This window comes from Homo sapiens, chromosome 2 (assembly GCF_000001405.40).
Source record: "Homo sapiens chromosome 2, GRCh38.p14 Primary Assembly".
NCBI classification, from domain to species: Eukaryota; Metazoa; Chordata; class Mammalia; order Primates; family Hominidae; genus Homo; species Homo sapiens.
In genome coordinates, this window is record NC_000002.12 from 110,530,399 (window position 1) to 110,545,467 (window position 15,069).

General features: G+C 36.7%; 1 protein-coding gene across 19 annotated transcripts in view; it reads right to left on the bottom strand.

The window, feature by feature from the left end:
- RGPD6 (RANBP2 like and GRIP domain containing 6) overlaps positions 1-15,069 on the bottom strand; it is a 97,255-nt gene that overhangs the window by 16,597 nt on the left and 65,589 nt on the right. For 16 of the 19 annotated variants that reach the window (NM_001384362.1, NM_001384363.1, NM_001386155.1 and 13 more), the window contains 7 exons: positions 14,671-14,808; positions 14,262-14,408; positions 13,138-13,317; positions 12,961-13,044; positions 9,657-9,792; positions 6,018-6,112; positions 3,067-5,290 (listed from right to left, as the gene is read on the bottom strand). In NM_001384362.1, the coding sequence (NP_001371291.1) occupies positions 3,067-5,290; positions 6,018-6,112; positions 9,657-9,792; positions 12,961-13,044; positions 13,138-13,317; positions 14,262-14,408; positions 14,671-14,808 (3,004 nt within the window). Of the gene's footprint in view, positions 1-74; positions 2,176-3,066; positions 5,291-6,017; positions 6,113-8,089; positions 8,259-9,656; positions 9,793-12,960; positions 13,045-13,137; positions 13,318-14,261; positions 14,409-14,670; positions 14,809-15,069 lie in introns of those variants that run through there. The other 3 variants (XM_011511769.3, XM_017004843.2, NM_001037866.2) reach the window with 3 other exon arrangements.

The following is a 15,069-nucleotide window of genomic DNA, read 5'->3' on the forward strand; positions in this document are numbered from 1 at the left end:
ATTTAAAAAGGTTAAAAATTTTAAAGTGTTGCCTAACTATACTTAGCATACAATAGTTTACCAAAATATCCACGCATTTGCAGCAATTGAAAAAAATCTTAAAACATAAGCAAGTATTAGTATACATATGAAACTAATCCAAAGCCAACTGTGATTAGTTCCTGTAAGGAAAGTTAACAATTGCCAAGAATGGAAGGTGACTAGAGTTGCATCTAGTTTGCCTGTGTTCAAGCATGATACTAGATAAAATTAAATAAAAACTGTGACTCTATGGGTAGCTAATACTATAAAATCTAAGACCATTCATATGGCTGAAAACAACCCATCCCCAGCCACCATCAATGCAAAGGGCAAAAAATTAGAAACAGAAAAAACTTCTATATGCAACCTGTTCTGATCTATTAATGTAAAGAAGAACTTCTGGCTAAAGGAGTTTAATAAAGTAAGCCAGTTATGAAGCATGCCATGTATACCAACTGGTGACAGGGAAACATTCTGAGAGCTATGGTGTCCAATATGGTAGCCTAGCCACATTCTATTAAAACCTCACAAGGTGGCTAGTCCAAATCAAGACATGCTAACAGTAAGTGTAAACACACACACTGGATTTTGAAGACTTGGTGAAAAACAATAATGTAAAATATCGTTAATTTTTATATTAATTAGAAGTTAAAATGATATTTTGGACATAATGAGTTAAATCAAATCTATCAATAAAGTTACTTTCATCTGTTTCCCTTTTTAACTGTTTCTTTTTATTCTTTTTAATATGGCTACTAGAAAATTTATTTATTTATGTATTTATTTGAGATGCGGTCTTCCTTTGTCACCTTTGTCACCCAGAGCTGGAGTGCAGTGATGTGATCATAGTTCACTGAAGCCTGGAACTTGTGGGCTCAAGTGATCCCTCTGCCTCAGCCTCCCAAGTAACTGGGATTATAGGCACCAGCCATTGCACCAAATGACAATTTTAAATTACATACACAGGTTATATTTTATTTCTATTGGATGACACTGCTCTGCAGAACCAGTGCCCTTCCTTTTACAATGTTAAATCTGTCCCTCTCCTTCATTATAAACAAAAACTTAGTATCATTTCCTAGCTAGGAGAAATAACAGTACACCATAAGATACAGATTCTTGTTCCACTTCTGCTATTACTCAGTAAAGACCCCTTGGGTAAATCAGATAGCCTCTCTTGGCCTCAGTTTACTCATGTCTAAAGTCTTCATTTCTAAGGTCCCTTGGGACAATGACATTATCAGATTCAAAACAGAATAAGGCTCTATGTTCTACAGTAGTGTATAGGCACATTCGTTCTTAGCTCAGGGATTCTTAACCTAGAGCTCACAGAAACTGTACGCAAGTATACATCCACTTTTAAGTTAACACTTTTCACATTTCTCAAAGACCGTATCTTTAAAATAAAAGATTAAGAGCTACCTTAGCTGGTAATAAAACTGGTATACTTAAAAAAAAATCAGAGATTGTTACTTTATCATTGTACTTGTTTGGCATGGCTAAGATGTGTTACTGGTCACTAAGGGTGAGATTTCACTTCCCTAACCTGTTCTTGAAGGCCTTCAACAGATCCCACTTCTTGTTCCACTCTAGTAGCCACACTTCTAAAAATGATCTGTGCAACATATATAATATGCAAGCTGTAGAATGCTGGCTGTTAAAAATGGGGTCCATTTTCAAATACAACATTTTTCTAAACCATGCACAAAAGAACAGCCCTACAGGGACACTCTTCCATACTGTATACATGCCGTTGCCACTACATGTGAATACTGGCAGACGTTAGTGGCTAAAGATAAACATTAGATAAAACATAGGTCTTCATTGAGCAGACCTGAAATAGCAGAGCAATGAAGTACATTACAAATCAGCATCCCACTACATTTTAAAAAACAAACCAACAAGGGTGTCATGCCACCAGTCAAAAGGTACTTTGCTTAAACTGGCATTCTTTAACATGCATGTTGTAGTGGTAAGTACTTCATTTCATACAGCCACAGTAATTAATACTTTGCTAAGGGCTACCCAGCTGCTAAAAACTGCTGTTATCTCATACTGAGAATGCTAGTTCTATACCTTTGCTCTCAGGCTGTGAGGAAGGGGTGCTAGTCCAAAAGGCCATGGGATTAGATTTAAAAAGGCTAAAATTAAATCCTAGAAAATAAAGAATATTTCATTTTTTAACATTTTAGGAAACAAAATGAATATGCTTTTAAAACATAAAAAGCCAGAATCCCTCAATTTATACCACCAATCTGACTGTCTTACATATTCATTTATCCCTGTAGTTTCATTCTTTGCTCATTTAATACATGAGCAAGACTGACATACAACACATAAAATGAGAACATCTCAATATCATGTTTTTTTTTGTTTTTTGTTTTTTGTTTTTTTTGGAGACAAAGTCTCACTCAGTCACTCAGTCAGGCTGGAGTGCAGTGGCATGATTTCAGCTCACTGCTACCTCCATCTCCTGTGCTCAAGCGATCCTCCTGCCTCAACCTCCTGAGTAGCTGCTAATTATAGGCACGCACCACCATGCCCGGCTCATTTTTGTATTTTCAGTAGAAACAGGGTTTCACCATGTTGGCCAGGCTGGTCTCGAACTCCTGAGCTCAAGTGATCTGCCCACCTCAACCTCCCAAAGTGCTGGCATTCTAGGAGTGAGCCACCGTGCCCAGCCTCAATATCATGTTTTCTGAGTGACAAAAGAAACAGAACAAATGAAAATGAACACTTTAAAAAAAGACTCACGTTAATGCGCATGATTCAAGCATGAGTCCGTACACTGTACCAAGTTCTTTTGCTCTGCCCTAGCATGATAGAAGTATCTTCCAGTTACTGAAATGTCTTTAACTAAGTTCTCTTGCTCTTTGAAACCTCACCGTGAACTTATTAAGGGAGAAAAAAAATTGCTCAAATATTTTGGGGGTGTTCACAAAGCATCGTTTATATCCCAACATTAGTATCCCACAAAGAGTCTGCATCAAGCTAAACATTAAAAGAAAGAAAAATTGTGCTTAACTTTAACAACAAAGTACCTACCCTTTTCTGGTGTTTTAAATGTGTAGTTGATTGAAGATTCTTCCGTTGGAAAGGAAGCAGAGAGATTTTTGACTTTGCTATCTGAAGACTGTTCGATATCAGAGTTCTTTGACAGTTCACATTTTTTAGGTTCCACTTTGCTTTCAGATCCACTCTGGGCTACTGAACTAGTTTCACTATTGTTACTTTTCAAAGGTGCATTAAAACTAAATCCAAACAAAGACCCAGTGGCAGAACTGTTGCCAAATACAAATGGTTTTGATTTTTCACTACTAAAAATTCTTTTAACAGACTCTGAAACAAATACAAACTTTGGAGGAGAAACCACTGCTTTTGTTGTTGTTTCAGATGTGCTAGACACTTCAACTTCTGAAGCTGCATCTGCTACATCATCACCCTGAATAACATCTGTCCTCTCTCTTGTGGTTTCTTCTAATATAGCTACAGCAATTTTGCCACATGGTGACTCTCTGGGAGTGCTTGACCGAGAAACATGAGGTGTTATCAAAGAATCTTTTTCCTGGGCTGTTTTTGCTTCATCAAAAATTTTCTTAAACGAGTCTGCAACATCCTGTAGTTTAAAACGAACAGCTAAATGCTCTACTTTTCTTTCTCCATCTGCAAAATCACATGCAGTCCACACCCATACTCTTTCTGTCCCTTTCATATTTTGCAAACTCATGTCTGGAGTTATTCTGTGATTGGCACAAAGTTTTAATACTTGGTCCCTTCTCATCACTATACGAACTTGCTTATTATCATAATTCTGTAAAATCTTTATATCACCAATGCCCCTTTCTTTCCATTGACCAACATCTTTATCATATCTGTAGATTTCTGCCCTGTGACTAAAAACAACTTGTTCATTTTCCTCACCACTGGATACTTCAACTAGATCAGGTAAAGGAACAACAGGTTCAAAGTACTGTCCATCTCTCTCTTCTTCTTGAGTAACAACAGATTCTTCATCAGTGCCAACTGAAGTCCCACTCTGATTCAACTTGGCAGGAGACTTAGATAGACTCAAAGCAGATTTAAAACTGAAGTTAGATCCTGTTGTTGACTCATCAAAGCGGAAAAGATTTTTTCTCACAGGGCTACTTGCCAATGGAGAAGCATGTACTGAGCTACTACTGACACTATCATCCAAAGCATCTTCCCTTAAGTCATAGTTATCCCATTCTAATGTGGGCCCAGTGTTTTCAGCATTGGGTTTTATTGTTGTGTCTGAGGCACCGGCCGCACCTGTACCTGAACCCTTATTTTCTTCCTCAGTGACTTTTGTTTGATCATTTGTCAAAAATGTTTTGAAATCTTTCAGTCCACTCTTCATTTCTTCAGCTCTCTGTATTAACTTGGCAGCTCTGCCAGTATCTACAAGTTTATGGGGAGTTTGAAGTGGTATGTCTAACAGAAGCCGCTGGCATTCCTCAAATTTCTGCTTGAATTCTTCAGCCAGCTCTGGTGTTTTAAATTTTGCTGCCAACCGCTCTAGTTTGGCATCACCGTCAGAGAAATCACTGGCTGACCACATCCATGCTCTATCTGATCCAGAGAGGGGCTTCAGGTTCATTGTAGTCGTTATCCAATGATTAGCACACACTTTTAGTACTTGTTCTCTTCGCATCAGCATTCTTAGTTTGCCATTGACCTCGTTTTTGAGAATTTTTAAGTTCCCCAAGCCCCTTTCTTTCCACTGCCTTACCTCAGCATCAAATCTAAATAGTTTTACCCCCTGTGAATACAGAACTTTTTCACCTTCTTCTCCTGTTACAAGTTCTACTTTTTCAGGCATTTGAACTACTGGTTCAAAATGGATGTCATCGCTGTCCTCAGTCTTATAGGCATCATCATCTTTCTCAAAGTCACCGGAAGTGTTTGCTTTATTGGCCATTTTACCGTATCGTGATGAGAATAATTTTTCTCCAGCACCTGAAAATCCCTTGAAATTGAGGTCTTTTTTGCCAAACTGAAATCCTTCTCCTGAAGTTGATTTTGCAACATCTGCAAATGTAAAAGTGCTACTTGTTTGGCCAAAAATCACACCACGGCCCTTCTTCCGGCCACTAATATCCTGAGCCTGGAAGCCAGTATCATTTTCAAGAGGCTTTTCCCTTTTCTTTTCTTGATTTCCTGGTTCCGAAATGCCAAATTTAAATCCATCAGCAGACACAGGGATGGAAAATCCTTCTTTGGTTGACTTAAATTCTGTATTAGAAGAACCCTGAAACATAAATGAAGGTGAATTTTCTTGATCCACATGCCCAAAATAGTCATGAAATAAATACCTTCTTCATTCCTAAACAATTTATCAAATGATGTTAACAATAATGATGATGATGATGATGATAACATTTATTGAGCATTCATTAATGTGCCAGCTGGGCACTGTTCTAAGCACTTTACATTATTATCTCATTTTAATATCCTCAAAAACCCTATGAATTAAGGTATTATTATTATCCTCATTTTACATATGAGGCAACTGATGCATTGAGAGGTTAAGAAACTTGCCTGTGGTCAAAATAAGCAGAAGAGCAAGGGTCTAAATGCACCCCAACACTCTGTCCTCAAAGCTGTCACATTCAACTACCACTGTAATATTGAGTCTTCAATCAATTGTTATATATATAGCTGTATCAGGCCTGAAAGTACTTACCACATAGTGGGTCAGCAAGGGCATTACAGTTCTATTTCTGTTAAAACAGAACGATGAAGGATCCACCACCACCACTCCCATTTTTAAAATATTCTAAATATTCACACTTACTAACACAAAAATAAGGTGACTAAGAAGGATAATTTCTGTATTTGGAGATAAATTTAAAATATCTACATTTTAAGGGACATAAAAGTTTTAATAGTGAACTGCTCTCTTGAATTTATTTGAAGGAACCCTAAACAATTTAAAAAGAAAATAATTATAAATGTATAAATTATTCCTTTGTTACCTTTGTGGGAGTAACATTAGCTGCTGGTCTGAGAAGATACTGGGAATTATATGCTGGTGACTGACTATAATATACTGAAGGGCCAGTAGTTGCAACTGAAAAAAAAAAAAGAAAAGAAAACACTGTTAAAGTCTATACTACAGTTAAGACTATCTAGGCAAGAGCTATAAATACAAAAGCAATAGAAGTTAAAGAAAGATTTAACTACATAAATTTTAAATTTCTGTACATCAAAATACACCAATCAAGATTATCAAATGACAAACTAGAAAAAAATTGCTAAATATGACATGAAGAATGAGAGAATAGCATCGCTGTGATCAACAAGAACTACCTCGCAAGCATTAAAAAAGGAATAAAGAAGATAGTAACTGTTGCCTTTTCTAAGAAAGATCAGTATGATGTGGAATTATGGACATTCAGTCACAGAAAGGACGTAAGGAACCAAGATGCCATCTGATAGTCAATGCATTTGAAGTGGGCCTAGAAAATCTGCAGAAAGACTAGGTTGTATTTTGTAAACTAAAGCTATTACTCAGAATGTTCAGCTCAAAAATCACCTGACAAATTCATGGAAAGGATGTCATAAATAACATAAAATGTGTTCCCTGGCTTAAAATAAAAAGCACATCAACACTCATACAGATGTACAAACTGTCTGCTCCCTCTGTTTGGTCTGTTTTACCAGGAAACAAAATGACTAGAAGGCACCCATGTTAATGACAAAACTACCAATAGTCATTTGCTTGAACTGTTTTATGATAGTTTTACCAGAAAACAACCAAAAGACCTTTTATGCCTGTACATGGAAGGAGAAACAGAAACTGTGCCAAGAGGTTCCAAACAATTGCCTCTGGAAAGCACTGAAAAATCAAGACCTAGAAAAGGCTAGCCAGAAGCCCAAGTTTGATTTCGGAAACCTTACAGAGGTGAGGATAGCTATTTTGAAATTACTATGGGGAGGAAGCAGGCACAGAACACAGAACAACCTGACAGAAATGGCCCAAGAATCTTAAAGTCTTGCAAGATGTCTGTCTGCATGAAAGCAAAAAGAAAAAATAAAATATTAAATAAAAAAAAATCTTAGTCTGAAGTTTAAGTAGGGACTTTAATTGACTACTGACTCTAAACTGTGCGGCTCTAATAAATCTACTAAAAGTAATCTAATTTTTTAAAGCACCATATGAATAGACAATTTAGGAAAGAAATGTTAATAGGCCTCAAGGAACATGTTTTTGAAGTGAGCCTTGAAAATCTGCAAAATGACGAGGTTGCATTGTGCAAATTGAAGCTATTATGAGAATGTTCAGGTCAAAAAAATTACCTGACAAATTCACGCACAGGATCTCACAAGGAACACAAATGTGTTCGTTGGCTTTAAAAAAATCACATTAACATTCATGTTGATATACAAAAACTCTTCTCCATCTGTTTTGTGTGAGTTTTACCAAGAAACCAAACAACTGGAAGGTACGTTGAAGATGGCAAAACTACCAACTGCCATTTGCATGAATTGTTGAGCATGACTAGTATTAAAAAAACTTAAAAATTGATATCACTTTTGTTCCTACAAATTGGCAAAGGATTTTATAAACTAGTAAGTCAGCATTAGCAAAAGTGCGAAAATGGCACTATCAGATACTAGCGGTAAGAGCATAAACTGAATATTTTGAATACCCTACAAAACTAGGACAGTGTCCTAGAATTTGTAATGGCATAAACCAGAAACAACATAAATAAAGGAACAGAATTTACAGTACTTCCATGTGATGGGATACCATGAACTCATTAATATTCAAAAAACATTTAAGTTTAAAAATGCTCAGAACTAAAGTAACATTTTAAAAACAGGCTAGCTCATCTACACACAACATAGTAACATGGTAACAATCTCATAAAAAATACTATATGTATAGAGAAAGAACCAGAAGGAAATGCTCTCAAATATAAGAAATGTTAATGAGGTGGTTAGCTTTTAGTTTTCTTCACCCTGTTCAGTACTTCTGAGTATCTCCTATGAGCTCATTAATCTTTAATTTTAATCATCTTATTTTAAAAAAACAAGGACCATCTTGATATATGTTTACTTTTATTAAGGAAAAAGAATCTATGAACACAGGAACAGAAATCAGGAGATCTTGGCTCTCGCCCTTTCAGTGCCACAAAGCTGTTTTGTGAACCTGTAAATAATCCATTTGGAGTCTCCATGTTTCTCAATTGTAAAATGACGATGTGCTGCTTCTACACATTTCACAGGGTCATTGCAAGAATAAAATGAGACAATGAGAATGTTGGATTTACATGCTTGTATAAGAACAGAAGACCTTTTATGCCTGTACACAGAAGAAATGGAAATCATGACCCACAAGGCACCAAATAACTGACTGCACACATCACTAAAAAAGCCCCAGGAAAGGCTAGCCGGTTTGTTTATCCTCTTACAAGGACCTATATGATGTGTAAGGTTTTAAGAAAACAAGGTTTGAACGTTAGACATTTCATATACTTATCTATGACTTACGACATTTAATAAGCTTGACTTCACAAAGATTTTCTGTTATTTTGCTTGTGTTGAGAAGATACTATCACAAAAGGCTAGTGGGGTTGCCTTAACTATAGGAACCATCACACAAATGTGCTCATCTAAACTAGATTTTTTTCTAAATCTTTCCTGGGCTAAAAAGAGAAAAAAAAAAAGGGCACTACTACTACCATTTCAGAAGTCTGTCGTACGTAAAAGGAACAATTTTGTTATTTCTGGCTGCCTGGGAGCAATGTATTATACTGGCAAGTGCTTTGGAGTTACACCACTGGAGTGTGAATCTCGGCTCTATCAATAACTAGCTGTATAATAATGAGTAAGTTACCTAACCTTTCTTTATCCATTTCCTTATTTATAAAAAAGGGATTAATAATGGTACCGGCCATTCTAAGTTACTGTAATTAAATCAAATTACATTCACACAGCACTTTTGCACACAGCCAACCCACAGTAAACACTATTAGTAACCTTAGTTCATTAACTGTTTACTGTATACTCTAATAAATGTCTGATACACACCCACGCCCACCTGCACATACACAAATGCTCATAGTAATTATGTAAGGCAAGTATTATCTCCACATTTCAGACAGGTTAACTTACACAGCTATTATAGTAAGTGATAGAGCAGAACTTAAAAACCCAGTATGATTCAGGTCCAAACTCCTTTTCTTTCTTTATATAACCATAATATTTCAAATTAAGTAAGATTTCCTATATAACGTCCTGCCTCTCATCATTATCATCAAAATAATTCCCCAGAGGTGTAGGTTCTTAATTAAGCATTTCTTAGTGCATAACTCTATTCAATAACATTTTGCAATTTAAGGAATAATCTCATCTCAGCTCATCTGAGGTGTGGATTAAGTGTTCTTTAAGCCTTTATATACACGTGATCACATACGGCTCGTTTTTTCTGCTTGGGATTATAAAAATCTCCGTAACACCTAATACAGCTTTTGAAGTCACATATAAACAGACGTTGACATGTATATTAACAAACATATATAAACAAGGTGATTTCACACGTTATCTACTTAAAAGAGGGAAGTAAAGTAGTTTTACTAAAATATGCGATTATCCACTTGCCAGCTCACCTGTTAGTGGAGCCCCATGAAATGTCTGTGACCCCTGATATCCATCAGGCACCGAGTCTGGTCCATAATTCTCTGTGGGCCAACGATGACGGGATGCTGACTTACTGCTATTTAGTTTCAACTCCTGCATTTCTTTCTATTGGAAGAAAAAAAAAATCAAATAATTTTAATCATTTAATTATATCATGCCAGAAACAGTGCTGGGGAAACTTACTCTTTTAAATTTAAATAACTGATTTTTTCTTTTTTTCTTTTTTGAGATGGTGTCTCGATCTGTCGTCCAGGCTGGAGTGCAATGGCACAATCTTGGCTCACCGCAACCTCCACCTCCTGGGCTCAAGCAATTCTCCCACCTCAGCCTCCCGAGTAGCTGGGATTACAGGCGTCAGCCAGCACGCCCGGCTAATTTTTGGTATAATAGTAGAGATGGGGTTTCACCATGTTTGCCAGGCTAGTCTTGAACTCCTGACCTCAAGTGATCCACCACCTCAGCCTCCCAAAGTGCTGGGATTATAGGTGTGACCCACCACGCCCGGACCTGATTATATCTTTTGAAAGTTTCTATTTGCCAAAGAGTTCTAGGTACCTGGTGCTGATTTTAAAATATGATTCTTAATTTGTTAAAAATTTATCTGCTCCCATTTTCATTCGTTAATACAAAACCTAATTCATTAACTCTCTCACCTAAACAAATAACCTCCTAAATGATCACACCTTCATTTCCATTCTACACTTGCCTACATTAACCTTTCTGACGTTCACCTCCAGCCAAGACAATTCCCTGCTCAAAAAAACAAGTACCTACAAACTAAACTTCTTTCCCCAACTTTCACAGTCCTCTAACATTACACTGACCATCCTTTCAGTGTGTTCTTTCTACACTGCAACCTGGACTACCTGACATTCCAAATCACCTCCCCAAATTAGCTTTTCACTTAACCCTGTGTTCAAACAAAATACAACTAATTCTCAAGGTGATGTTCAAATGCTCCACCAGGAAAGGGAAAAAAGTAGTAGCTGCAGAGAATTTATTATGTATATAATAATACGTCCAATGCACTTAAACTCTTAATTTTTACACCATCTACACTGTTAGGTAAACAATATTAGCTCCTATCTTAAAATGAGAGAAACGGATGCAGGGAATAACAGCTGGAATTTGAAACACATCTGACTCCAAAAATGTTTTCTTAACACAACTCTGCTGCCTTGACAAGATGGCAGATAGATCCAATGCCGTCTAGTGTAGCTATGTGGCTACTTGATCTCTGCTGAAGAAAACTAAATGACAGCACCATACCCAACACCCTAGAACCTACAAAATGTCCCCTTACAAAACAGACACTTAACAGGAAATTCTTTTTCCAAAGAAATTGTAGTGGTATCAGAAAACAGGTAAATTTTGAAAAGTTTCAAACTTCTCTGTATCAGCCCAGGAATCCGATCAGTTCTAACAAGTGAGGTCAGGGACAGATCTAGCATGTCTGCTTTCTGTTTCTACAAGTGTTTCAATTAAAAATTTCCCAGAAAGACCTAACCATGAGGTCCAAAACTATCTCAATTTTCAAGCTAAATAAAATTTCCCCCATTCATCCATCTACAGTGCCTAGTCCAGATGCTACACATACACATCCAAGAAATAAGAAACTAGTGGAATCACCTAGAAAACTTTATAGTCACTGTTGGTATCCGCACCAGAGCTTTGAATTTGCAATCACTGCTGTAACTGTAATTTTTAACATTCAGTGTGATGAGAACTGGCTTCAATAATTCTCTCATTTTAAAGATAAGAAGCCAAACAGTCACAAAGGAAGTGACTGGCCCAAGATCATTAATTAATGGCAGAGTCAGTACTAGTACCAAGCTTTTCAAGCTCATGGACTAGTGCTCCACTATACTTCCACAGAATACAATGTTGGGAGCCTGAAACCTGTATGTTAAGTCAAAATTGTATGTAATTGTCATAGGCCACGACTACACAGAATTAACATTCAAAATTTTTGTGCAAATTCAAAAATGTCTTCCCCACCAAATAGTATTCTCTTAATTTGCAAATGCTGCTGATCACACTGTAATAATCGCCACACATCAGCATATCCTTGATGTAACTTTAGCAGTATGAGTAATTTAGTTCTTGCTTGATAAACATGAAAGAACCTACTTTTATTTCCAATTCCAAAAAAGTCAAGCTCCTTTGAACCCTATTGTTAAAATAAGATATATATACATAACTATTTCCTTACATAATTAAGTCAAATTCATATGGAAGTATTAAAATATAGTAAGACTTTTTGAAGCTCAGACCACTTTTCGATTCCTAGCTATACATTTGAAACACATGTAATCCACAGCTAATCTGGGAATGAACTCATAGACCAGAGTATGATTAGTACATTGTAGCACTTCAATCACTCGGGAACCTTCTCTGTGTCAGGAACTCTTATATTTTAAATAAAACAGTTTCTACCTTTGAAGGTCTCAAATTTTGTGGAAGATGAGGAGAGAGACACATAAAGTACTTTCAAAAATATGGTAAAGGGCTGGGTGCGGTGGTTTACACCTGTAATCCCAGCACTTTGGGAGGCCAAGGTGGGCAGATCACCTGAGGTCAGAAGTTCAAAACCAGCCTGGCCAACATGGTGAAACTCTGTGTCTACTAAAAATACAAAAATTAGCTGGGCCTGGTGGCGGGTGCCTGTAATCCCAGCTACTCGGGAGGCTGAGGCAGGAGAGTCACTTGAACCTGGGAGGTGGAGGTTGCAGTGAGCCAAGATCACACCATTGCACTCCAGACTGGGCAACAGAGTGAGACTCCATCTCAAAACAAAACAAAACAAAATATGGTAAAGGGTCAAGACCGAGGTATGTAGGCTGGGCACAGTGGCTCACACCTGCAATCCCAGCACTTTGGGAGGCTGAAGCAGGAGGATTGTTTGAGCCAGGAGTTCAAGGCCACCCTGGGCAACATGGCAAAATCCCATCTCTACAAAAAATACAACAATTAGCTGGGCCTGGTGGCATGTGACTGTCTGTAGTCCTGGCTTCGTGGCAGGCTGAGCCAAGAGGCTCTCTTGAGCTAGGAGGTTGAAGCCGCAGTAAGCTGTGATCATACCACTGTACTCCAGCCTGCACAACAGAACAAGACCCTTGTCTTAAAAAAAAAAAAAAAAGACCAAAATGTCCCCTTGCCATACTATTTGGATGGCAAGGGGACATTCTGACCAGCTTCAGAAAAAAAGTGAGAGAGTAGCCAGGGAAGGAATCTTGGAATAAAAAGTACAGCTAGAGAAATTAAGTGACTTACCTTAATGGCCTCTACTTGTTGGCAAATCATATTCAGTAAAGAATTCCGATCTTCTGTCCATCGAGGTGGTGTTTCGGGAGAATACTGAAAAAAAAAATAAAAATAACAAAACAGCATTTAAAACACTTAGAACAGAAACAATTTCACAATGAAATGATTCCATTCTTTCCTGTTTACCTTGTAACTTTTACTTGGTGATAGTGAATATTTGGTAGGAGACGGTGTAGAATGTTTTATTTCTGAATCTGCATTTCGCAAAGAACCATTTTTATAGAGAGGACCTCCTTCACTATAGTCTTCGAGTTCCTGCATGACTGAATTAAGCATCTGTTTTACAGACTCCAGGGGCACAGGCAACTAAAAATAAAAGACATTAATTAAGGGCTTTCATTTGCAAAAAATTCCAAAAGTAAAAACTCTAAAATGATATATTTTATCTTATTTACATTTTTGTCACTTTAATAAGCACTTTACACTTTAAATAATAATACACGTGAAAGTGTTTTTTAATTATCTTTTTTCTTTGTTTTTCTGTTGTTTTGTATTATTATTTTTATTTTTTTGTCTTTATTCTATTTTTTTCTTCAGGAACACAGAAAAGTGTTGTACAGTCTAACATCTTCTGATTCTAAAGTCCATGCTCTTTCTATTACTTCTGTTAACCATGATAATTGTAGAGGAATGTTAACTTGGAAAGCTTTTCCAAGTGAACAAAATAAGTTACTGATGTTTTCTAACTGATTTTCAATGGTGACAGAAATACAGATGCTACAATACACCAGACAACATAAATCCTAATAAAAGAGTAGTAACACAAATTAATCAACAAAACACTCAGAAGACTGAACATAATTTAACATCATCATGACAATCTCAAACAGCTGACAGCAAGAAAACAAGGGCGTTCATAATGGCTGATGACGATGAGAAGAAATGCTCTTAAGTTGTCAGCAACAACTTTCAATTTCAGCAAAGTTCATTAAGAATTAGTCCTGAGGTTATAATATTTGTTTTGATTACACTGCTAAGATAACAAAATCAATGTCTTATCTTAGAAATCTTTTCTAATTCCCCAAGAAGTACTTTTTAAGAGCATATACCTAGATTCCCAAGTTTAAAAAGACACACCAAACCTAAGACAAAGCAAGCAAATCTAAGCATTTAGACACACGCATCCCTTCTGTGCATTAATAACAACATATTACTGAGTATTTTTGAAATTACCAAAATATAAGACCAACGCAAAAACACTGACCAGTGGGTTATCAGTAAGAACGTACATACAACAACCTGCTACTTACTTTCTTGACCACTGAAAGATTTGAATCACCGTCATCTATAATCTTTATTAGGTAGTCCCTGGTCTTTGTCAGATAATTTCTGCATTCTTCTTGTTCTTCAGGAGAAAGGGCATCATTTTCAATGTCTTCTGCCTTCCTGTGAAAAATCTATACAAATAGTGCTTTCATGAAATCATTAGCTTTTTAAAACAAAAAACTTTCAGCTTGGCCACGCATGGTGGCTCATGCCTGTAATCCCAGCAACTCGGGAGCTGAGGCACAAGAATCGCTTGAGCCTGGGAAGCAGAGGTTGCAGTGAGCCAAGATTGTGCCACTGCACTCTAGCCTGGCCAACAGAGAAACCCCGTCTTTTAAAAAAAATAATAAATAAATAAATACAACTTTTAGCTCAAGTACTGCATCTACTTACCAGTGCAAGATTCCAATAAGAAACAACACTTTTTATAGATTCAAAAGCAGTCACAGCATCTTCTATATTTCCATTTACTGCATCCAACATAGCAAAAGTTATGTGTGCGTCTTCTTCATATTCAACAATTTCTGATGCCTAAACACATAGAATAGTTTTTAGTCAAATTGTTTATACTCAGAATATAAAACCCAAATGATTTTCCAAAGATTTTATATGATCTTAAGAGACAAACATCTCATTACTCTTCTCTGTCATATCTTATCTGTGAGAGCTAGTGAATTTAGAAAACAAGATTACCGTTAAATAACAAGGCAATTAATTTAAGCAGTTTATAGCTCCACGTCTTTGTTTATAAACTGGAAATTCCCATCTCCAATAAATTCATAAAGGAACTCT